This window comes from Homo sapiens, chromosome 18 (genome assembly GCF_000001405.40).
Source record: "Homo sapiens chromosome 18, GRCh38.p14 Primary Assembly".
Classification (NCBI taxonomy): domain Eukaryota; kingdom Metazoa; phylum Chordata; class Mammalia; order Primates; family Hominidae; genus Homo; species Homo sapiens.
Genome location: NC_000018.10, coordinates 14,767,819 through 14,793,515, shown reverse-complemented (window position 1 = coordinate 14,793,515; position 25,697 = coordinate 14,767,819). Strand labels below are relative to the sequence as shown.

Here is a 25,697-nt window from a genome sequence, read left to right as displayed (position 1 = left end):
ATTTTTGCAAAAAATGTTAATGCCAATATGTATACGCTGAGTGATGAGGAGATAAGTGATCTTGAATCAGAGGAGCAAATCATGACACTGAGAAAATAAATGCAAAAGCTGAACATAGAATGCTACACCATGTGTCTTTAATGCAACACATTATAATAATTTGTATCATTACATTACAAATATTTATCATGTTCTTTAATATGTCCTGTCATTGAGAAAGTACACAGTTCGGATGAGAGTTCAGCTGAATGTAGATTTGACATCTCATCAGTGAAAGTGTTATGAATTGATCAGCTTGGATATATACTTGGAGCATAATACTAAATATAAATATTCATTGATTTTCATACCCGTATGCTACAATAGTATCCAACATTTTTGTAATTTCTAGCTTTGCCATCTCAATATTTCTTGATCAACTCATGGAGGAAGATGTACAAACCTCATCAGGAACAGCAAACTTAATTAGCCCTCAATATTGATGTATTTGTTATAAATTTAGTTGCAACAGACATTAAATATTAACAAAATTTTCTAGGTTAAAATCAGTAAAATACCTATGAATAACAACAATTTAAGTATTCAAGTCATGAATTCAGAATTATGGTTTTTAAAATTAGTCTGGTTTGGTATATCATGTTATTCGCTAATGAGGTTTTATAAAATGGCAATTTTACCAACACAATTTGCTTCCTTAAAAATAAAGCCAAGGTTCTTACATTCTAGTATATCTTATTCAAACTGTGAATATCAACAAAATATATACATATATATATATATATATATTTGATGCCTCATAGTAATAAAGAAAATTAATGAGTCACTGAGGTTTAGTCCAATTCTAGTAATCCTCATGATTCCAAAAGTCTCTGGAGCACCCACACTCTAACATTCTGCAGTGAAAATATTCTAAATGCTTCCGAAGTGAATTCACTCCATTTTCCTTCATACAAAATCCAAAATAATCTAGCTGGCTTCTCTCTTGTCCCCTGCTTCCTGCCTCATAATCTCTCTTCTTTAGCAAAAGTAATCTCTAGACTTGTGCTCTTGTTTCTTCCCATTCAACACACACTCTTTCCTTTTTCTTTGTTTAGCAGTAGTATCTTCCGTCTACAATTTCTATTCCATTGCCCCTTTCTTCTTCTCCCCTAACTAAAAACATACTCAAAAATAGGAGCACCATAATGCTTTCTCCTGACCCTTTTCTGTCCTGACCTTCTACCCAATGGCCCTTCTTCCACATTTTTCCCACAAAGGTCTCTCATCTTGCTACTCAGAGCAAGGTCCTAGGACCACCAGCAATAGCATCACCTGACAACTTACTAAAAATGCAGAATCCCTAGTCGGCTGAATCACAGTGTGAATTGTTAACAAGGTTTTCAGACGGTTTTCTAAAGTTTGAAAACTTATGGTCTATACGGAGTGTATATGACAAATTATATACATGTGTGGCCATGCATATATGCTTATTCTCAACTATTGCAAATAGAACACAGCTCTCCATGGTCAGCTGCTTCCATCCCTAATGGCTTCCCACCAGTGAGAAAGACAGGAAGAGTCAGAATATTTTTGCTGTAATTCTCTGGTATGTTTTGGCATTAGAAAGTCACTTTACATTCTTCCCAAATTTCTAACCATGCCCAATCTTTTCCTAAAGAATCATTTCATTTTACCATCCTCCATTATATAAACCTGCCTCTTGTTCCTTCCCGTCCTCTCTGTACTCTCTGTCTTTCTCGATCTTCATTTCCTCTTTTACTACTTTCTCCTTTCTTATTTTCTCATTTTCCTCAGCTCTTGGAATACCTTGAATTCAAACTAATAATTCAGTTCCTTTTCAGCACTCTCAATATACTCTGTTACCAACACCTGATAAGACGTATAACTTATCACCGTTTCACTTCTCTTTTTTCTGTGCTTTGCATTAAGGAGGTAATTTTCTTCATCTATTAGAGGATATCCTTCCTCATCAGTTTAGATAAATATTTGGTCAAATGACTTTTTAATTAAAAAATGGTTCTTACCTTCTAATTTTCCACTTAAGGTATCGAATTCTTTTTGATGTGTAGCTTTGGGTAAATACACATCCTTCTGTGAAACCGTCTCACAGGGACTCTGTTAAAAGTAATATCAATAAATAATTTCAATGAAAAAATCCTAGTAATGAAGAGTATCAAAATTTTCTAACTAGAATCTTTTTTAAAAACACAATTTCCTAGTTTGCAAACAATTCGACTTAAGAGTACACACGTATAGAAAATCAAAACATTTTGATAGAAATCACCATCAATCCCACAGAAATACAAACTGCCATCAGAGAATACTATAAACACCTCTACACAAATAAACTAGAAAATCTAGAAGAAATGGATAAATTCCTCAACACATACACCCTCCCAAGACTAAACCAGGAATAAGTTGAATCTCTGAATAGACGAATAACAGGATCTGAAATTGTGGCAATAATCAATAGCTTACCAACCAAAAAGAGTCCAGGACCAGATGGATTTACAGCCGAATTCTTCCAGAGGTATAAGGAGGAACTGGTACCATTCGTTCTGAAACTATTCCAATCAATAGAAAAAGAGGGAATCCTCCCTAACTCATTTTATGAGGCCAGCATCATCCTGATACCAAAGCCAGGCAGAGACACAACAAAAAAAAGAGAATTTTAGACCAATATCCCTGATGAACATTGATGCAAAAATCCTCAATAAAATACTGGCAAACCGAATCCAGCAGCACATCAAAAAGCTTATCCACCATGATCAAGTGGGCTTCATCCCTGGGATGCAAGGCTGGTTCAATATACGCAAATCAATAAATGTAATCCAGCATATAAACAGAACCAAAGACAAAAACCACATGATTATCTCAATAGTTGCAGAAAAGGCCTTTGACAAAATTCAACAACCCTTCATGCTAAAAACTCTCAATAAATTAGGTATTGATGGGACGTATCTCAAAGTAATAAGAGCTATCTATGACAAACCCACAGCCAATATCATACTGAATTGGCAAAAACTGGAAGCATTCCCTTTGAAAACTGGCATAAGACAGGGATGCCCTCTCTTAGCACTCCTAATCAACATAGTGTTGTAAGTTCTGGCCAGGGCATTTAGGCAGGAGAAGGAAATAAAGGGTATTCAATTAGGAAAAGAGGAAGTCAAATTGTCCCTATTTGCAGATGACATGATTGTATATCTAGAAAACCCCATTGTCTCAGCCCAAAATCTCCTTAAGCTGATAAGCAGCTTCAGCAAAATCTCAGGATACAAAATCAATGTAAAAAATCACAAGCATTCTTACACACCAATAACAGACAAACAGAGAGCCAAATCATGAGTGAACTCCCATTCACAATTGCTTCAAAGAGAATGAAATATCTAGGAATCCAACTTACAAGGGACATGAAGGACCTCTTCAAGGAGAACTACAAACCACTGCTCAATGAAATAAAAGAGGATACAAACAAATGGAAGAACATTCCATGCTCATGGGTAGGAAGAATGAATATCATGAAAATGGCCATACTGCCCAAGTAATTTATAGATTCAGTGCCATCCCCATTAAGCTACCAATGACTTTCTTCACAGAATTGGAAAAAACTACTTTAAAGTTCATATGTAACCAAAAAAGAGCCTGCATCTCCAAGTCAATCCTAAGCCAAAAGAACAAAGCTGTAGGCATCACAGTACCTGACTTCAAACTATACTACAAGGCTTCAGTGACCAAAACAGCGTGGTACTGGTACCAAAACAGAGATATAGATCAATGGAACAGAACACAGCCCTCAGAAATAATGGTGCATATCTAGAACTATCTGATCTTTGACAAACCTGAGAAAAACAAGCAATGGGGAAAGGATTCCCTATTTAATAAATGGTGCTGGGAAAACTGGCTAGCCATATGGAGAAAGCTGAAACTGGATCCCTTCCTTACACCTTATACAAAAAGTAATTCAAGATGGATTAAAGACTTAAACGTTAGACTTAAAACCATAAAAACCCTAGAAGAAAACCTAGGCATTACCATTCAGGACATAGGCATGGGCAAGGACTTCATGTCTAAAACACCAAAAGCAATGGCAACAAAAGCCAAAATTGACAAATGGGATCTCATTAAACTAAAGAGCTTCTGCACAGCAAAAGAAACTACCATCAGAGTGAACAGGCAACCTACAAAATGGGAGAACATTTTCGCAACCTACTCTTCTGACAAAGGGCTAATATCCAGAATCTACAATGAACTCAAACAAATTTACAAGAATAAAACAACCCCATCAAAAAGTGGGTGAAGGACATGAACAGACACTTCTCAAAAGAAGACATTTATGCATCCAAAAAACACATGAAAAAATGCTCACCATCATTGGCCATCAGAGAAATGCAAATCAAATCACAATGAGATACCATCTCACACCAGTTAGAATGGCAATCATTAAAAAGTCAGGAAACAACAGGTGCTGGAGAGGATGTGGAGAAATAGGAACACTTTTACACTGTTGGTGGGACTGTAAACTAGTTCAACCATTGTGGAAGTCAGTGTGGCGATTCCTCAGGGATCTAGAACTAGAAATAGCATTTGACCCAGTCATCCCATTACTGGGTGTATACCCAAAGGACTATAAATCATGCTGCTATAAAGACACATGCACACATATGTTTATTGTGGCACTATTCACAATAGCAAAGACTTGGAACCAACCCAAATGTCCAACAATGATAGACTGGATTAAGAAAATGTGGCACATATACACCATGGATTACTATGCAGCCATAAAAAATGATGAGTTCATGTCCTTTGTAGGGACATGGATGAAATTGGAAATCATCATTCTCAGTAAACTATTGCAACAACAAAAAACCAAACACCGCATATTCTCACTCATAGGTGGGAATTGAACAATGAGAACACATGGACATGGGAAGGGGAACATCACACTCTGGGGACTGTTGTGGGGTGGGGGGAGCGGGGAGGGATAGCATTAGGAGATATAACTAATGCTAAATGACGAGTTAATGGGTGGAGCACACCAGCATGGCTCACATATACATATGTAACTAAACTGCACATTGTGCACATGTACCCTAAAACTTAAAGTATAATAATAATAAAAGAAAATAAAAGAAAACCTCACATAACTCTCTCTACATCAAGCTTATCTTTACATTCATGTGGCCATTAACTTGGTTACTGAGCAGGAAAAACAAATCATGTTCATGAAAAAATTCACACGTGCATATTTCAAAAAGTATCTCTCTTAAAAATATCTAACTTATATTGTAGTCCTCATCAAAAATAAATGACATTTCAAACAAAATACAATACATTTTCTACTTGCCATGACACATACAGCATTAAACATTTAAAATATTCATGGTCATAGAACTGTTTAGCGTTAAAAATGATGTCTGTCTTGAACTTTTAGAGTCTGTCATATAGTGTATGCACAGAATGCTGAAAAAGCTGCTTTATTTCGGTAAACAGGGGCTTAAAATAAGCAACATGTTTTTGACAAAATTTATGATGATAGAAAAAGTGCTTGAATAGAATGTAAATGCAGTAAGAAAAAAATTATGTCATGTCTAAATGAAAGCAAACAGGTATTAAAGTGTTTTGTCTAATAAAAAATCAGATAAAATCTACCTCTCTATGGACTTCAACCCTTTGCTGTTACCATCAGGCAGCAGCTGCTTGTTTCTAAGAGGTCAGATACTTTCTATGTCTTTCCACAGTTGTGACCTTAAAACACATCACTATTATTTCACGCTCATGCTGCTGCAGCTTCACTGCCATAAAGTGACTCAAGGAGTTCTATTTGTGAAAATATAATTTATATTTTTCAATAGACTGCTCAACCAATACTCTTGTTATTATATTCCCACAAGGTTTCCTATTCCTCATGCTTTTCTTTCTCCTGAAATGTCCCCTCAGATCTATACTGAACAATAAAGATATGTCAATACGTTCAAGTCCCAGGCACTAACTTTTCAGGTCCCAACTTTTGCAATACTGTAGTTTAAAGTGTCTCTCCATGAATCCAGTTAGAACTTTTGTACATCTAGATATAAGACAGAATCATGTATTTGCCCATAGCTGGACTCAGTGTAATTCTTTTGCTTTTAGACAAACGTACTTCAGATCCCATGTGAATTTCTAGTGAATTCTAAGCCTTATTTTTTACACTATACCACACCGGCTTCTTAAATTAATCCTACAAATTCACAGAATTTCACCATGAAGTGGTAATCTACTTAGCACATATATTCTCTATTAAGCGTATTCTGAAAAATATCAAAAAATAATTTGGGGGTGACATATGCAGAGGTGAGAAAATAAAGTCTAAGCATCTGATTTTATGTTTTCATCTCATGCAATACTAATATTTAAAAAAATCAATAACACATAGTACCTCAGAATCCCAAGAATTTTCTTCATCGTCCTTTTGTTTGGATTCTGATGGGAACATCTGAGCTATAAAAGGTTAATCACAGATGTATTCATGAGAACATTTCTCTACTATAAATTTTAAAAACATACACAAGTCTACTTTCATTCACGAATCTGTAGTTTTTCCTCTGTAGCCTGTATATTCTTTTTGTTGATTACAGTGACTACTTCTATAGTCACTCCATCAGAATTGAAACCTAAAAAGTCTGAAAATTAACATTATTTCATTAGAATGAAGAAAAATAGAAATTTGACTAACTTGTATGAGTTATTTCTTCACAAAGCAATCATATCCTCTTCTCCTGTAAAACACAGTATGTCCTATATTTGCTGTTCATTCAGAAAACTTTAATTACCTATCATCTCTCATTTCTTTGTAAATTTTTAGTTTCTAGTGTTACTTAGTTTGATTGACTCAGCAATCTCTATTACACAGCTCTTCAAAAAAGATGATCTATCAATGAATAAAATTTTTTAGGAATATTAACTTTTTGATATTAGTCAACTATATGTCCAACCCTTTTACATTTCAATATGCTATGACAGTGTATTGGGTGTGTTTTGGGTGTGTATATGTTTTAGGATGATAAGCTTAAAAAACTTTTATTGCATATAAATTAAGAACTGCTTTAATTACAACGACACACTGCTTCCCTAATGCAACAATATCTTCAGAGTCAGCTTGTGACACCTTGGAGAAACATCAGAAATGTATAGGAAAAAATAATTGCCTTAAGTAATCTAACGTTCCCACATGTTGTATAGGATAAAATCAAGGCCCACACAAGACTTGAGGAGTTCTCAGGCACATAAGACAGAAAATGAATTTATACCAAAAATAACTTCCAGTTTTCTTTATCAGCAAAAAGTACAAATTACAACTATTTGAGTCAGGTTAAAGAAAAAAGCAAACGTGCACAACTAAAAGTTAAAAGACCGTTTCATCATTAACAGTACATTTATCATTCGACATCTATCAACTCTCTACCTGTTTTTTTTTTTTTTTTTTTTTTTTTTTGAGACGGAGTCTCGCTCTGTCGCCCAGGCCGGACTGCAGACTGCAGTGGCGCAATCTCGGCTCACTGCAAGCTCCGCTTCCTGGGTTCACGCCATTCTCCTGCCTCAGCCTCCCGAGTAGCTGGGACTACAGGCGCCCGCCACCGCACCCGGCTAATTTTTTGTATTTTTAGTAGAGACGGGGTTTCACCTTGTTAGCCAGGATGGTCTCGATCTCCTGACCTCATGATCCACCCGCCTCGGCCTCCCAAATCTACCTGGTTTTCAAAAGTAAATTTAACCTGTGATCTCAGCATCCCTGATGTTCACATTTCATGCAGAGGGTCCAAGAAACTCAGATCATACTTTGGTAAGTCACCATTTTCACTCATTTTCAGAAGCATACCCTGGATCGTTTCAGAGATCTTACGTGTTGCCACACCATAGCTCTAAGAAGCTGTGGGGCACAGTTCAAATTCTTAGTGGAATGTATGATTGCACAAGGAAATATTTTAAATATTTTACTTTTAATTTCTAATAACTAAAAAATTAGCACATAAAACTAACTTTTTAAAGACTTGGAAATCTGCATGTTTTCATTTTTATTTATTACTTATCAGCATAAAAACTGTGCAATTAACTATGCTACTGTCATACAATGGAATTTTATAAACAACCTAATATTTAAAAACACAGTTAATTGTGTCCTTTATGGATGAATCCAAAAATTATAATGCTGATCAAATAAGAATGTTGCTGAACATTACACTGTACAACCATGTATACATTAGAAGTTGAAAAAAATTGTACATATTAAATATGACCATGCACACGTTGTAAAATATTTAAACATGCATAAGAATAGTTTTAAAAAGTAGGTTAGTGTAAAAAGACTCTAAAGCCAAATGCTTCAGAATTACAGTTTTAGGAAAAATGTGTTTATCAAATATTCACAAATAAATGACTAATTACTTTCCTCATCTTTACAAGGTAAAGGTACCACACACATAAACAGACACACACAGGAACACACGCAGACACACACACACACAAACACAAACACACAGAGTTCACTGATCCGAGTTACTGAGTTTCTTAAGATTCCCAAAGTGACAACACCGGAAATGAGGTAATTAATATTAAAACACAAGTGTTATATCAGTAAAAGACTTGATCCCCGAAGTAAACCGTGGAATCTGAATCAAGCTTCAAAGAACTAAAAAAGTTAGAGTTTCAAAATTCACCTTCTTGAATCTTTAAGAAATACAGAAGTTCAAAATAGAAAACATTACAGTTTCGGGATACAAAAGTAGAAACACCTGAGATTAAGGCTACATTTTTTTAAAAAAAATATATTGAAAATTACTGTTCTTGTAATATCAGGTTTTCAAACATAAATACCAGTATTGGCATTATCTAGATCAAATCTTTTCATCAAAGTTAAAAGAAATAAATCATTGGGGATAGAAAGACTATCAAAATGTCCAATATTGAACTATTCATCTTTGCATAGTTAAATTGAAAAATTTACCTGCTCTCAATGTTTGTTCATTCTTCAATTCAAAGGCTTTATTTGGAACAGTCTTTTGCATTTCAACGGCAGGCTAAATGGGTTTGGAAGAAAAATGATCAATAAAGAATGTGTACTTCACAAAGTACATAGTTAATAAGTCATTCAAAATGAAACCATAAAACTAAATACCTTGAAGGCAGATGGCTTCTCAGGAAGCTCTAAAATGCAAAAGAGATTTATCATCAATCATAAGTAAATATGACAAAGCCAACCGAGTGAATGCAGTGATAGTATCTAACTGAGTCCTCTTGGTTGACTTTGAGAATGAATAGTTTAGATTTGGGAAGTTTTCTTTTGGTTTGTTTAGGACACACACATGACAGGAATTCACTGAAGAAAATATAAATATAGGTTTCATAGATCATGCAGTTAAGACCTCAAAAGCGAGATTGTGTTTCACGTGTAAAAAGGGTTGATATGAGAAAATAAATGTCAAACCTGAACATGGAATGCTACACCATATACTTAATGAAACACATTAAAATCATTTATATTATTCTATTCATCATGTTCTTTAATATGGCCTATCTTTGGAAAGGTACATAGTTATGATGAGAGTTCAGCTGAATGTAGAATTGACATCTCATCAGTGAAGTGTTATGAATTGATCAGCTTGGATATATACTTAGGTCATAATACTAAATATAAATATTCACTGTTTTCCATAACCATATGGTGTAATCATATGCCTATATTTCTGTATCCTCCAGTTTATCCATCTGAATGCTTCTTGATCCACTTATGCAAGAAGATGTATAAAACTCATCATGGAAATAATTTATAAGCTTTCAATATTGACATATTTATATAAAAATTAATTGCAATAGATGTATTAAACATAAATAACTTTTTATATTGTTAAGTCACCACAATATTTATTTTAAAAAGCAATCTTATTATTCAAGTATAAATTCAGTATTTTTTTAGTTCCTACAATTTGTCTGATTTGGTGTATCATTAGTCTATAATAAATTTTTTTGGAATGGCAATTTTACCAAAACAACTCACTTTCTTAAAATATAAAGGCAATGTTCTTAGTTTCAAATATATCTCACTTGAATAGCTAACATCAGCAAAATATATATTTGTCATGCCTGATTGTAACATAGAAACCTAATGAGCACTCCTCTTGCTATTCAAAGTGAGCTCCAAGGACCACTGACATCAGCATCGCCTGAGAACTTATTAAAATTTAGAAACTCAATTGTGCTGAATGATACTGTGTATTACCAAGGTATTCAGCTGATTTTTAAATGTTTCATAAGTATTGGTCTATACTGACTGTATATGACAAATTATATAGATGCACACCTATGCATTTTTGTTAATACTCACCTATTGCAAATAAAATACAATTCTGCATGCTCAGATAATTCCATTCCTAATGCCTCCCCAGTAGTGAGAAAGACAGGAAAAGTGAAAAAACTTTAGCAATAATTTTCTGACAAGTTTTGGGACCAGAAGATCATTTTATATTCTTGCCATCTTTCTAAGCATGGTCTATCTTTTCTAAAAAATATTTTATTTTGCCACCTCCATTATATAAACCTGCTTCTTGTTCCTTCATGAACTCCCTGTACTCTCTCTGCCTTCCTTAGTCTTCATTCCCTTTTTACTCCTTTTCCCTTACTTATTTCCTGACTTTCCTCATGTCTTAGAGTATCTTGGATTCAAACAAATAATTCGGTTTTTTTCTTGCACTCTCTATATATTCCTGTTGCCAACACCTGAAAAGATACATAACTTATCATTTTACTCCTCTCTTTTCGATGTTATGTATTTAGTGGGTAATTTTATTTGGCTATTAGAGTATTTCAGTCATCATGCGTTTAGACAAACATATGGTTAAAAGACTTTTCAAATAAAAAGTTGTTCTTACCTTCTACTTCTCTATTTATCTCCATTACTTTCTGATACATAGACTCAGGTATACACACTTGAGTCTTTGCAGAACTCTCAAAGAGACTCTGTTAAAAGTAGTATCAATAGATAATTTCAATTTTAAAATCATAAGAAGCATCAAAATTCCTAATTAAAATATTTTTTAAACTCAATTTCTGACTTCAAAGGCAATTTGATTTGAGGATAGGCACATATTGAAAATCACGACATTTTGATGGAAACCCTCACATATGCTATCTAGGTCAAAACTTATCTGTTGTCTTCATGCAGCTATTGACTCGGTTACTGAGCATGAAAAATAAATAATATTGACACAAATTTTCACTCATCTGCATATTTCAAAAAGTAACGCACTTAAAAATATCTTACTTTATCTTCTGCACCAAAAAATCAAGAAAGCACATCAAACAAAATACAATACACTTGCTACCTGCCATAACGCATGTTGGAGTTCAATCAGGCTGGTGGGAAAAATATTAGAGATAGTTATAGAGATAGACACAAAACTTCTTCGAAGGCCGAGAAGTTTGCATAACTTTGGTAATGGATATGGTTGAAGGCAACCTGATCTTTACCTTTCGTTAAACAAATTAAAATAGTCATAAAGGAAGGCAGAGTAGTTTACCTAGCTAGCTAGTTTACTCATATAATCTTAAGACTAACCTTTGATGTACCACAGGTGCTTAAGTGCTTTTTACTTGGGAAGTCCACAATGTCAATTAACCTCTAATGGTGTTGACTCAAGCTTTTGTTAATTATTATCTTACTGAATAAATGCGAGTCTGACTAGCTGATCAGGGCCATAGTGGCAACTGTTCACAGAACTCAGCAGGGAGTCTGTAAGCCACACGGACACTCTCAGCTGGACTGGCAGAGCAGAATATCTGTGTGTCAATGTACTTTATTCATCTTTCCCTGGGTCAGGGGTCTGCAAGGGACAGACTCCCTGCAGCTGGTGCCTCCTGGAGAGGAGTGCTGCCGCAAATACATACTGCATTAAACATGGAAAATATTCATGATTATAGAATTATTTAGTGTTAAAAATGATGCATGGCATAAAGAGAATGTTAAGAATAAGTCTCCTGGCTAACACGGTGAAATCCCGTCTCTACTAAAAAAATGCAAAAAAATTAGCTGGGCGTGGTGGCGGGCGCCTGTAGTCCCAGCTACTCCGGAGGCTGAGGCAGGAGAATGGCGTGAACCCAGGAGGCAGAACTTGCAGTGAGTGGAGATCCAGCCACTGCACTCCAGCCTGGGCGACTGAGCGAAACTCTGTCTCAAAAAAAAAAAAAAAAAAAAAAAAGAATACTCAGAACATTGTAGAAGCGGCTATATTTAGGTAAACAAGGGCTTAAAATAATCAAAATGTTTTTGATAAAATGTCTGCTGATAGAAAAAGTATTTGAATAAAATGAAAAAGTAGTAAGGAAAACTTATGTTTATGTTATGTTTAAATGAAAGCAGACAAATATTAGAAAAAGTCTTTTTTTTGGTCTATGGACAAATTAGATAAAATCTACTTGTCTATTGACATCTCATTTCTGTTACCACTGTGCAGCAGGGGCTTGGATGTAAGAGGTCAGACACTTCCTGTGTCTTTCCACAGTTGTGACCTTGGACTACACATCATTATTATTTGATACTTATGTTGCTATAAGCATGGCTACCACAAACGGACCCAAAGAGTTCTATTTATAAAAATAATTTCTACTTTTTAAAACACTACTCAAACAAATTGTCCCACTGGTTTCCTATTCTTTATGCATATTTTTCTCCTGAAATGTTCCTTCAGATCTATACTGGACAATACACGTATGTCAATAAGTTCAAGTCCAAAGCATTATCTTTTCATGTTTCAAGTTGTACAAAACTGCAGCTTAAACTGTTTTTCTATTAATCCAATTAGAACTTTTGTACATCTAGATATACCACTGAATCATATATTTGCCCACAGGTGGACTCAGAGTAATTCTTTAATTTTTGGCCAAATTTCACCTCAGAACTTGTGAATTACTGGTGAATTCTAAGCCTTATTTTTTATACTATACTACACTAGTGTTTAAAACTCATTCTGCAAATTAGTAGAATTTCACCATTAAGCAGTAATCTACTTACCACATAGATTTTTTTTAAGTATTTTTTTTTTGGAGACAGAGTCTCACTCTGTCACCCAGCCTGGAGTGCAATGGTGCAATCTCACCTCACTGCAACCTCCTCCTCCCAGGTTCAAGTGATTCTCCTGCCTCAGCTTCCCGAGTAGCTGGGATTACAGGTGTGCACCACCACATCCAACTAATTTTGTATTTTTAGTACAGACAGGGTTTCACCATATTAGCCAGGCTGGTCTCAAACTCCTGAACTCAGGTGATCCTCCCACCTCAGGCCTCCCAAAATGCTGGCATTACAGGCATGAGTTACAGTACCCAGCCAAGTATGTTTTTAGAAATATCAGAATTTCTTCTGAGCATATGCAGTGGTAAGAGAACCAAGTCAAAGCCTCTGATTTTGCATTTTCACATCACTCAATATTAATATTTTTAGAGAATAATAACAGCAATAATACACAATACCCCAGAATCCCAAGAATATTCTTCATCTTCCTCTCGTTTGGATTCTGATGGGAACATCTGATCTAAAAATGTTAATCACAGATACATTCATGAGAGCATTCCTTATTATAAATTTTAAAAACATATACAAATCTATTTTCATTCATGAATCTGTGGACTTTCTTCTGGAGCCTGTATATTCTATTGAATAACAACCACCACTTCTATAGTCAATTGGTTAGAACTACAATCTTAAAAATCTAAAAATTAACTTTATATTCATTAGAATGCAAAAAGCAATAAAAATTGACTAATTTGTATTAATTATTTCCTCACAAAAGAAATAATATCCTCTTCTCCCATGAAACACACTATGTCTGAAATTTGCTATTCACTCAGATAACTTTAATTACTTATCATCTCTCAATTCTCTCTGTTTTTATTTTTTAGTATTACTTAGTTTGATTGACTAAGCAATCTTTATTACACAGTTCTTCAAAAAACATTATCAATAAGTAAGATTCTTCAAGAAATTAACTTTTTGATATTAGGAAATATATGTTCAACCCTTTGAAATTTCAATATGCCATGACAGTATATTTGGTGTGAATGCGTTTTAAATAAATAAGCTTAAAGAACTTGTACTGCATATAAATTAAAAGCTGCTTTAATTACAATGAGATAGTCTTTCCTCAATGCAACAATAGCTTCAGAATCAACTTGGGCCTCCTTGGAGAAACATTAGACATTTCTAGGAAAAATGATTGCTGTAAGTAACCTAAATTTCCCACATTTCATGGAATTAAAGGTCCAAGGAGTACTGAGAGCCATGAGGCAGAAAATCAATATATTCATTTAACAGAAATATTCTAAATGCATCTGAAGTGAATTCACTCAAATATCCTATTCAGAAACTCGAAAGTTGCCTGGCTATCTTCTCTCTTATCCCGTGTCCTGCCTCACAATCCCTCTTCCTTAGCCAAAATAATGTCTACGTCTGTAGTCTTGATTCTTCCCATTCAACATCTCTTAAAATCAATTTTCCCAACACTTTTTTTCTCTTTGTTTAGGGGTAGTATCTGACATCTGTAATTACCATTTCTTTACCTCTTTTTTCCCCTCTGGTCAGAAACATACTCAGAAATAAAAGCAATATAATGCTTTCCCTTGACCCTGTTATGTCTTGACCTTCTATCCAATGGCCCTTCTTCCAGATTTTTCCAAAGGAAAGGCTATTCCCTTGCTACTTAAGAGTGAGGTCCAAGGACCACCAGCATCAGCATCACTTGAGAACTTATTAAAAATTCCAGAATCCCAAGTCTGCTGAATCACAGCATGCATTGTTGACAAGGTATTCAGCTGATTTTCTAAAGTTTGAAAACTTCTGGTCAATACCGAGTGTATATGACAAATTATATACACGCACAGCTGTGCAAATATGCTTATATTAACCCTTTGCAGATAAAACACAACTCTCCATGGTCAGGTGCTTCCATCCCTAATGCCTTCCCACCGGTGAGAAAGACAAGAGTGAAAACATGTTTGCTGTAATTCTCTGGCAAATTTTGGTAAAGAAAGGTCACCTTATATTCTTCAAAACTTTCTAATCATGCCTTATCTTTCGCTAAAGAATTATTTTATTTTACCATCCTCTATTACCTAAACCCATTTCTTGTTGCCTCATGTACTCTCTGTACTCTCTGTCTTCCTCAGCCTTCATTCCCTCTTTCACTCCTTTCCTCAGGTCTTACAGTATATTGAATTTAAACTAATAATTCAGCTCTTTTTTGGCACTCTCAATATAATCTGTTGTCAACACCTGAGAAGACACATAACTTTCACTGCCTTTGTTCTTCCGTGTTATGCATTTAAAAAATAATTTTCTCTGGCTGTCAGAGTATATCAGTCCTCATGAATTTAGACAAACATTTGGTCAAAAGATGTTTTAAATAAAAAATGGTTCTTACCTTCTATTTTGTGATTTATTGTTTTGATATCTTTTTGATATGTAGCATCAGGTAAACACGTATAATTCTGTGCAGCACTCTTAGAGATAATCTGTTAAAGGTAATACCAATAAATAATTTGTCTTTTTCCTTTTTTTGTTTTTTTGAGATGAAGTCTCACAGGGTGGCTCAGTGGTGTGATCTCGGCCTACTGCCACCTCTGTCTCCCAGGTTCAAGCGATTCTCCTCCTTCTGCCTCCTGAGTAGCTGGGACTACAGGCAGGAGCCACCACACCTGGCTAATTTTTTGTATTTTTAGGAGAGATGGCGTTTCACCATGTTGGCCAGGCTGGTCTCGAACTCCTGACCTCAAGTGATCCGCCCGCCTCAGCCTCCCAAAGCACTGGGATTATGGCTTGAGCCACATCAATAAATAATTTCAATTTAAAAATAATAAAAATGACAAGCATCAATATTTTTTATTTAAAATCTTTTTTATGGGGCCAGGTGCAGTGGTTCATGCCAGTAATTCTAGCACTTTGGGAGGCCAAGGTGGGGGGATCACGAGGTCAAGAGATCGAGACTACCCTGGCCAACTTGGTGAAACCCCGTCTCTACTAAAAATACAAAAATTAGCCTGGCGTGGTGGTGGGTGCCTGTAATCCCAGCTACTCAGGAGGCTGAGGCAGGAGAATCGATGGAACCTGGGAGGTGGAGGTTGTAGTCAGCTGAGATCACTCCACTGCACTCCAGCATGGTGACGGAGCAAGACTCTGTCTCAAAAAAGAAAAAAAAATAATTAAAACTTTTTTTTAACTTTAAAGGCAATTAGATTTAAAGCTGTTCACATATTGAAAACCAAAACATTTCAAGAGAAAACCTCACGTATGCTTTGTAGATCACACTTACCTTTTATCTTCATGTGGCTATTGACTGGGTTACTGAGCATGGAAAATAAATCATATTCATAAAAAATTCACTCGTGTACATATTTCAAAAGGAATTAACTTCAAAGTATCTGCCTTACTCTGTAGTCCTCACCAAAAATAATAGGGCATTTCAACCAGAACACAATATGATTAAACACTTGACATATGCATAATTATAGAATTTTTGTTAAAAACTATGCATGGCATGAAGAGAATTTTCAGAGTATGTCATGCGGAGTAGGAGTAGAACTCTGTAGAAGCTGATTCAGTTAGGAAAACAAGGGCTTAAAATAATAAGAATGATTTTTACAAGTTTTTGCTGATACAGAACTGCTTGAATAAAAGGAAAGATTCATAAGGAAAACTTATATTTATGTTATTTTTAAATGAAAGCAAACAATCATTAGATAAAGTACGCAATTCATTCTTAATACACAACTTCAGAAAAGTAGAGCAAGCCTTCATAAAAAGAGAAAAATAAAAACGTGTTCGTGAAACATCTAACATATGCCAGACACATATTTGCAGACTTTTCTTCACCTTAGAAAAATGAGGATGACGATGACATGGGTGGTTACCCCACTTTCTGCATGCTAGTCATTCTAAGTTGTTAAGAACAAAATGATGAACAAATATGGTCCACTGTTCTCTGTTCAGAATGTCTTCCTCCTAGACTTTCATATGGCTTACTCCTCATCTTTGAGATGGGAGATTAAATGGCAGTTTCAGAAAGATCTACTCTGACCATAGAATTCCACTGCCACTCCCATACGCATGCTAATTATAAAGTTCTCCAATTTTCTCTAACTGAACATTCTCTGTTTTGTTTTAAAGAAAAAGTTATAGTGGCTTATAAGTGTTTTTTATTTGTTATTCTCTTCCTACTACTACAGCATAATCCCTCATCTTGGATATTCAGACTCACTGCCTAGCACACAGTTGGTACTCAGAAAGGAATTACTCCAGGTCAAAATATTGAAAATCTCATCAGGAAAGTCTCACTTTCCAAACTGCTATATTTCTATGGAAAATCTGCAGTAGTAGCCTGCTGAAAGTTACCATCCCCTTACCCAAAATTAGAAATCCACATGCCTGTTCTTACTTCCCATTCTTGTGCTAACAATACTGCTTTCACATAAATGCCACTTTGATCATTTTGTCTTACATTTGTATACAGACTTTCCAGTTTAAAAAATGTTTTCACATTTGTTAAAACATTATTTCATCACATGCAACTAAGAGGTAGATATGAGCGCTATTTTTATAAACCAAGTTAGTTGCATTTGGTTAAGTTAATTGATTTTTTCCAAGTTCCCATAGCTAGTAAGTGTCAGAACCAAATACAGACTTATCTTTTGACATCCACTCATTGCTGTTACCACTATGCAGCTGCTGCTTCTACCTAACTGGTGAGGCCTTTGCTATCTCTTCCACATCCACAGTTGTGACCTTGGAATACATCATTATTATTTGATACCTATGTGGCTGCAAACATGGCTGCCACAAAGAAACTCAAAGAGTTCTATTTGTGAAAAGAATGTCTACTTATTAAAATACTACTCGACCAAATTGTTGTTATTATAGTTTTACAGGTGTCCTATTTCTCATGTTTATCCAACTCCAGAAATGTTCCTTCAGATCTATACTGGATAATCAAAATATACCAATACTGATATTTTGAAGTCCCAGGCATTATCTTTTCAAGTTCCAAGTTGAGCAAGACTAAGACTACAGTTTAAACTCTTTCTCCCTGAATCCAATTAGAGCTTTTGTACATCTAGATATACACAGAATCATATAATTGCCCATAAATCAATGCAGAGAAATTATTTAGTTTTTAGACAAACAACTTCAGAACTAAATAGATTCCTAGTGCCTTCTAAGCCTTATTTTCTTTTGCACTATTCTACACTGGCTTCAAAATTAATCCTGCAAATTAGCAGAATTGCACTATGCAGCTGTTATCTACTTGATACATGATTATAAAGTATGTTCTGATAAATGTCAGAAAATAATTTCTTGGTTTGCTTGTTTGTTTTTTGAGATGGAGTCTCGCTCTGTCACCCAGGCTGGAGTGCAGTGGCATGATCTGGGCTCACTGCAAGCTCCACCTCCCAGGTTCATGCCATTCTCCTGCCTCAGCCTCCCGAGTAGCTGGGACTACAGGCGCCCGCCACCACGCCCGTCTACTTTGTTGTGTTTTTAGTAGAGATGGGGTTTCACCTTGTTAGCCAGGATGGTCTCGATCTCCTGACCTCGTGATCTGCCGGCCTTGGACTCCCAAAGTGCTGGGATTACAGGCATGAGCCACCACACCTGGCCCTTAGATTTTTTTTTTTTTTAGCTAAAATAACCTAGAACAAAAATTTACTCTTACGTAGTTTATAGTATTGTAGAAATAATTAAAATTTAAAAAGTTAAATTACATGTTATATTTTGCAATATCTCTTCCTAATTTACAGTTGTATTAATTACCTCTTGTGTGGAAAAATATGAAAGTTTAGTTTTTAATAGTACCTTATTTAACTGGGTTTGCATTGAAATAGTATAGGTTGTTTCTATTCTGAACGGCAAAAAGCTAAGTATAAATAATTGTATAAATTCTGCTTCTTCCAAGAAACAGAGAAAAAAAGAATAAATCATGGAGAGGGCAATGATTGATTAATGAAAATCATACATAGCCACTAAATAGAAACCTGTAAATAAATATGCTGACAATTGAGACAGCAATGCTCTAAAAAGCAGACACTGAAGAAATGTATTCTGTGAGAAAAAAAGTCTGGGGCAAATCATTTTTAAAAAGGTGAAAGAGGAGGGAGAAACAAACAAGAGACGTGACCAGTCAATCAAGTATGAGCTTCAGTCATTAAATAAAATGAAAAACAACAACTATAAGATATATGATGAAACACATAAAGTACAGACTTTTGTTCATAATATATTCCTATAATGCTGATCAGTATTTACACTACAATTAGTTATTTGTTAATACCTGGGTAATAAAGATTTTAATTTTATTATTATATAATAAGACATTCAATTAGTTAAACATGGTCTTCAGCCAATACCTAAAAGCGGGAACATTCTTACTACAGAGAGAGAAAAAATTTAAAATGGAATGTTCCATAAACTTTTCACCTGAAGAAAGTACTGGTAATCAGAATTTTAGAGTAATGTATTCCTTGACAAGATATGTTTAATAGAACTTGAGTTTTGGATGGGCGCGGGGGCTCAAGCTGTAATCCCAGCACTTTGGGAGGCCAAGGCGGGCGGATCATGAGGTCAAGAGATAGAGATCATCCTGGCCAACATGGTGAAACCCTGTCTCTACTAAAATTACAAAAATTAACTGTGCATTGTGGCATGCGCCTGTAGTCCCAGCTACACAGGAGGCTGAGGCAGGAGAATTGCTTGAACCCAGAAGGCAGAGGATGCAGTGAGCCGAGATCACACCACTGCATTCCAGCCTGCATGACAGAGAGACTCTGTCTCAAAAAAAAAAAAAAGAACATGAGTTGAGATTAAAATTATTTTAATCTAAACTCCACTTGGAGGATACTAGAAAATATAGTGTAATCTTCTTTCCTATTTACTACATATCTCTGATTGTCTTCTTATTTGAGACATATTTTCACATGAATTTATGCATTCTAAATATTAAAAGAAAATATAAATTTAAGCCATATTTTTGAAATGCATTAGATTTAATTATAAGATATATCATGCATATTATCTCACTTGTAATATTCCATTATATAAAAATTCATTTGTCAGCTTATTTATTCACATTGAAAACCTCTTAAAATCTTTTTATAGGCAAGACTGTATTCTGGGTACACTAGGATGCACACACGTATGTTTTCTAACCTGCAGTATCTCATAGTGATGCAAGAGCTCCAAAATGATTATTTAAATAACTAAATACAAAATCTTCCATAATTTAAGATTTTCAAATGTGATCAAAGATCTTTGAACAATATATTTAAAAACTGCAATTTAAAAATTCTGAAATTAAAATCTTACTATATGCTTATTCAGAGTCTCTGCTTCCAGAACTGGTTGTTTACTTGGGGTAAAATCTGCATTCTTCATTTAGATGAAGAATTTAAAGCATACTTTTAATGAAAAACTTAGAAAACACACTGGCATGCCTTAATAATACAGATTCTGAGAAACAGAATTTACATTTCTAAATTTCTACAATTATTTTTAAAATTAGTGATAAGGTCTCGCTATGTGCCCACACTGGTCTCAAACTCTTGGGCTCAAGCAATCCTCCTGCATCAGCCTCCCTGGTAGCTGGAACTACAGGCATGCACCACCATGCCCAAATAAATTTTCACAATTTCTAATATTATTTTGGTGTAATTAAAGAACCAAGAAGAGAAACTGAGAAAAAGCTCTCTCCTGAAAACTACGTGATATCAAAATAATACATGCAAAAAAAAAAAAAAAAAACCCTATATGCTATGTGGCACAGTTTCGGAACTGAACAGTATCAGAGAGATTCCTTGATTACTATAATAAGAAACTGGGTCCATCAAGACAAATTTAAGCATGAATTTTGTTTTAAGTTACAAAAGAATAATTTTAAAAGTCACAGTAAGTTTACTTATCCAAATAAATCTTTACCAGATTTTATATATTCTCTATTGTGGAAAAGTTTTTTCTAGTATAATGTTCCTGTCACTATGTATTCTCCAGCCCATTCCATTTTTCGGCCCTCACACCCTCAAAGTATTTACCAATCATTTGTTATTTACTAAAGTAAAAAAAAAAAAAACTGTTTAAATCAACTACTCCTATTTCTATAAAATGTTTTTATCTGACCAACTTTATATTACCAACATGAAATAATGATACATACACCACTGCTAAGAAATACTATACAGAAATATATTGCAACTGAGAAAATCAACTTCACAAAAGAACATTTTACCTTGGTAGCAAGATTAAAGTCTTCCTCAACTTTTGTACACTGTGAATTTTCAATAGTCCGTGTGCCAAAAAGACTTTAAAGAAAAATGATACAACATAAATGAGCAAATTCATATATTTAAAAAGAAAATCTGCTAGTTCATATCTTGGTGCTCACTCTATAAAATGAAAACAAAAAACAAAATCTGGGGAAAGACCAGTCCTCTGTATATTATATCATGTTTCTTGGTAGAATTAAAATATGTCCTCTGTTTTTAAAAATGATTTTAGTTACCTATTTTTGACTCTACCTCCCCAACCTAAAACATACAATAAAGACTGACTCTTAGTTCCATAAGAAATAGTGACTGCCAATATAATTGGCATACCCTGAGTATAATTCATCCTCACAAACTGTCCTCAATGATGAACTGGAAATCTACTTAATGGCTGACATAACTTTTGATATATAAACTGGAACAAACTTGATAACCTAAAATAAGGAAGAAAGATACAGTTACCTTGTCCCTTATCCATTGTCTATCTCTGATTCAAAGACTAATCTGTGTCACTGGAAAATGACATTCTTTGTTTTTCAACATAAAAGCCACTTAAGAAGGCCCTGTTGCTTCCCTTCACCCTGAAACACTACAAAACAGTGCCCTGAAATATTTGAAATGTTGAAAAGCTGAACCTACAAATTTCAAGTTGCAAATGTATATTTGTTATTCGGAATATTTTCTCACAAAAATTGAAACATTAAAAGTAAGAAAGTCTAACTACTTATTTTATACTTGTCCTTCCTTGTTCAGGTCTACATAAACTAGCAAAGCCTTAAAAATCTTCATAGGTACTTATACCCAAGGAGAGAGACTGCTAGAAAAACTGAGACCTGATAGTTGGATTTCTCTAAGTACTATATATACAGAGAGAAAGATCTGGAAGTGGGAGCCACTATATATAGTGAAAGTGTCTCTCTCACTTCCAGATCTTTCTTCTGCAGGGCTTCATGGCAGTCTCCAACCTTTAAATATTCAGCTCATCAAAGCACAGACTACTGAAAAGATAAACTCAATGACCAACCAAGAAGTTCTGTATTCACCTGTTCCTGAAAAACAACGAAATGGAGTCTCAGTCAGTCATTCACCTCCAGCATAAGCATGTTACCAAAAACCCAACTGAACCACGACTTACTTGCCAGTCAATCTTACCCCTGCTTTATATGTACATGGGTAGGACATCTGAGGCTTGGGAAAAGAGACAAAGGGGAGGGGACATCTGCCTTGGGCCACAGATCTATGTGACTCAGCAACCTTTAATCCCCTAGCATTCAAGGGGCTCTAAGCCACTCTTGTGAGATTTGGGGTGAAAGAACAGAATAGGACATTTCTATCGGATTGTAGAGACCTTTCCCAGTGGCTCTTTTTTTTTTTATCTTTCAATAGAAAGCTTGAAGTTTGCCCATTCCTCCAATTAAACAAGCAAAAAAGCAGTGACCTATTCAGGACGTCTTTGAACCCTATTTTAGTATGCTCTTCTAGATAACTCCCAATGTCTTCTGTGTTTTTGATCCTCTAATTTATCTTTAATCAAACTTGTCATAAAATCCAACATTCTGATCTCTTTGGTAAAACCCTTACTCCTACCAATCCTGGGATTGTTTCTTTTCAAACTTGGCCTTTCCCTGATAATTCCATTCTTATCTACTTCCACTGGGTTCTCCAGCTAATTCCATTCTTATCCTTTTCCATTTGTTTAATTAGACCCATTCCCTCTTCCTATTATTCAAACACTCACCTACATGATGATATAAAAACAAGAGTAATGGGCTTTGAAATCAGTTTAAATATTACTTCTCCTACCTCCTATATTTAAATAAGTCACTTTGAGTTTCAGACTCTCCATCTGAACAACCATTTTTCCAGGATATTAAATACATGTTGAAATATGAAAGTATTTTGATTAGCCTCCAAGAGTCCTTAAAATCCTAAAATTCCACGTGCCTTTTATTTTAGCTATAGAAAAATGGTGCTGGCAGAAAGGAATAAAACAATAGAAGAAAAGAACACCAAGCAAAGCAGAGAAGAAAGTAATCAGGAAAGGATTATAGAAAAGTCATGGAAGAAGAAAAAAAGACTCTAGAAAAAAAATGAAAAATGCCTGCAACTAGGCAGGGAACTGCTTTGAAGAAAAACTAAACTTGGAAGTCAGTCAATAGAGAATTCTATAAGATATAGCCTCTAAATATGATTAACATAACATATCTATATCTATTCTCCACTAAGAGTAAAATAATCCATCTATAGATTTACCTGGTCTTCTTATGAAACAAAAGCCTATGTCTTGTGGCCACAGCTAAGTAAGATCTGCTCTAAACACTTTGATGATAATAACAAGGTACTGGTTACCGCTTTAACAGTTAAACATGTTAGAACAAAGTATTTGATGAATGAGTGTTCTAAGAGAAAACTCTAAAAAGAGTTAACCTGTAACAAAATGTAACTTTGTGAATTGATCCAATCTGGACCTGTACCTTGATCTCAGTGATGCAGAGGTCTCCATCAATCTATGCTGAGGGAGAAGAGAAGGGATTAGGGACCAAAGTAGGCAGATGGCAAACTCAAGGGTCAGCTACTTTTTAGCTATGAATCATAGGCCAATTAATCAACCTCTCTGAACCACATTTGCCTGTTTAATACAAAGTATGTGACAGTAGCACAGATGCTTTGCAAAGCTGTGTGATGACTATGTGAGATGATAAATATTAAGCACATAATATGTTGTCTAGCCCAGAGTAGAATACTCAGCAGATAGTGATTTCTTTTCTCTATGTTTTCTGAGTTAACCTATTCGTTTTAAAAAACCGCAAAGTCTTACCTGAATATAGGCTCTACAGAACTCACATCCACTATTAAAGAAAAAAAGTAAAATACATTAAATTAACAAATATAAATAGAAAATACAGAGTATTAACAACGTAAGAGGGCACGATGGCAAATGCCTGTAATCCCAGCTACTTGGGAAGGTGAGGCAGGAGGATCGCCTGAGGAGCCCAGGAGTCTGAAAGCAGCCTAGGAGACATTGCGAGACTTCAACTTAATTTAAAAGAATCATGCATATTTTCGTGCATGATCCAGATCTTGTTTAAAAAAGCATAATATTCCAACACTTTGTTATGAAGACTCAGATGATTTGATATAAAGGTTTCCTTTGGGACCATACCTTGAGACTATAGTAAAATTATTATTAAGTATACTCTTGGTAGGAAATTAATGCATTAAGAACACTTTTCCCCTCCTTTATAGTTCTCAAATGCACGGAAAAATAGAATTTATCACAATCTGATCTCTACAAGTGAGCTACAGTATACAATAGTCATAATCCAAACAGAATCCTGTAAGACGGACAGAAAATTGTATTATTATCAGAATTAGTGTAAGTGGACAGTGTCAACCTTAGAAAGTATAATTTCTAGAAAAATGAACTAAGAGCAGTTAGAGCAGAGTACACAGTAGTCTCTCTTTATCTGCTCTATGTGTAGAAAGAAACACACACAACATGATTTCCCTCTGCTCTCATGCCACAGTCATCAAAACAGAAGACTTCTGTGACCAAATGTGTGGAAGATTTTGTCCACCAAAAAATAAGCAAACAATTCTGTAGCAGAAACCAGCAAGTTGTCCTCTATTTAATTCCACTATCTATCTAGAAATAGTGTTAGATCCCACAGGCTGAGGGCTCAGTCTCACAAGACTGCCCTCCCACATCAGTTGCAAATGTGGGTTTCTGAATCATCTAACCAGCTGGTTTCAAGTTGGGATTCTCATGACTCCCTCTTTGGGTTTGATTAACGTACTAGAGTGCCCCAAATACTAAGGGAAACACATTTACCAGTTTATTATGAAGGGTATCACAAAGGAGACACATGAAGAGATGCATAGAGCAAGTTATAGGAAAGGGGCATGGAGCTTCCATGCCCTCCCAGGGCACATCAGCCTCCAAACACTTCCATATGTTCAGCTATCTGGAAGGTCTCTGATCCCAGTCCTTCTGGGTTCTAAAGAAAGCTTTATTACATAGGCATGAATAAAAAAAATCTGTGGCTCCTGGTAATTGACCTAATCTTCACCTCCTAGGAGGTTGAGGGGTGGGGCTGAAAGTCCCAACACATCATGTCTTCTTCTTTCTTGTGACCAGCTCCTATCCTGAAGCTACCTAGGGACTGCCAGCCATCACTCAATTATTAGCATACAAAGACATCACTTTGGAGATTCTAAACATTCTATGAGTTGTACGCCAGAAAACAGTGTTGAAGACCAAATATAGATTTCACAATATAATATCCATGGTTTTGATTTCTGTGATTTCAGTTATTCATGGTCAACCATAGTCCAAAAATATTAAATGGGGAATTCTAGAAATATGCAAGTCA

At 35.1% G+C, this 25,697-nt stretch overlaps 1 protein-coding gene across 11 annotated transcripts in view; it reads right to left on the bottom strand.

Annotated features, from left to right (window-relative positions):
- ANKRD30B (ankyrin repeat domain 30B) overlaps positions 1-25,697 on the bottom strand; it is a 192,964-nt gene that overhangs the window by 147,620 nt on the left and 19,647 nt on the right. For 9 of the 11 annotated variants that reach the window (XR_007066151.1, XR_007066152.1, XR_935057.3 and 6 more), the window contains exons 8-16: positions 24,143-24,173; positions 21,288-21,360; positions 15,441-15,531; positions 13,495-13,556; positions 10,902-10,989; positions 9,152-9,180; positions 8,981-9,053; positions 6,416-6,477; positions 2,025-2,115 (exon numbers count right to left, since the gene is read on the bottom strand). Coding sequence is in view for 6 of the 11 variants with exons in the window: in NM_001367607.2 (NP_001354536.1) it covers positions 2,025-2,115; positions 6,416-6,477; positions 8,981-9,053; positions 9,152-9,180; positions 10,902-10,989; positions 13,495-13,556; positions 15,441-15,531; positions 21,288-21,360; positions 24,143-24,173 (600 nt within the window). In the remaining 5 variants the exon portion in view is untranslated. Of the gene's footprint in view, positions 1-2,024; positions 2,116-6,415; positions 6,478-8,980; positions 9,054-9,151; positions 9,181-10,901; positions 10,990-13,494; positions 13,557-15,440; positions 15,532-21,287; positions 21,361-23,798; positions 23,837-24,142; positions 24,174-25,697 lie in introns of those variants that run through there. The other 2 variants (XM_024451167.2, XM_024451168.2) reach the window with 2 other exon arrangements.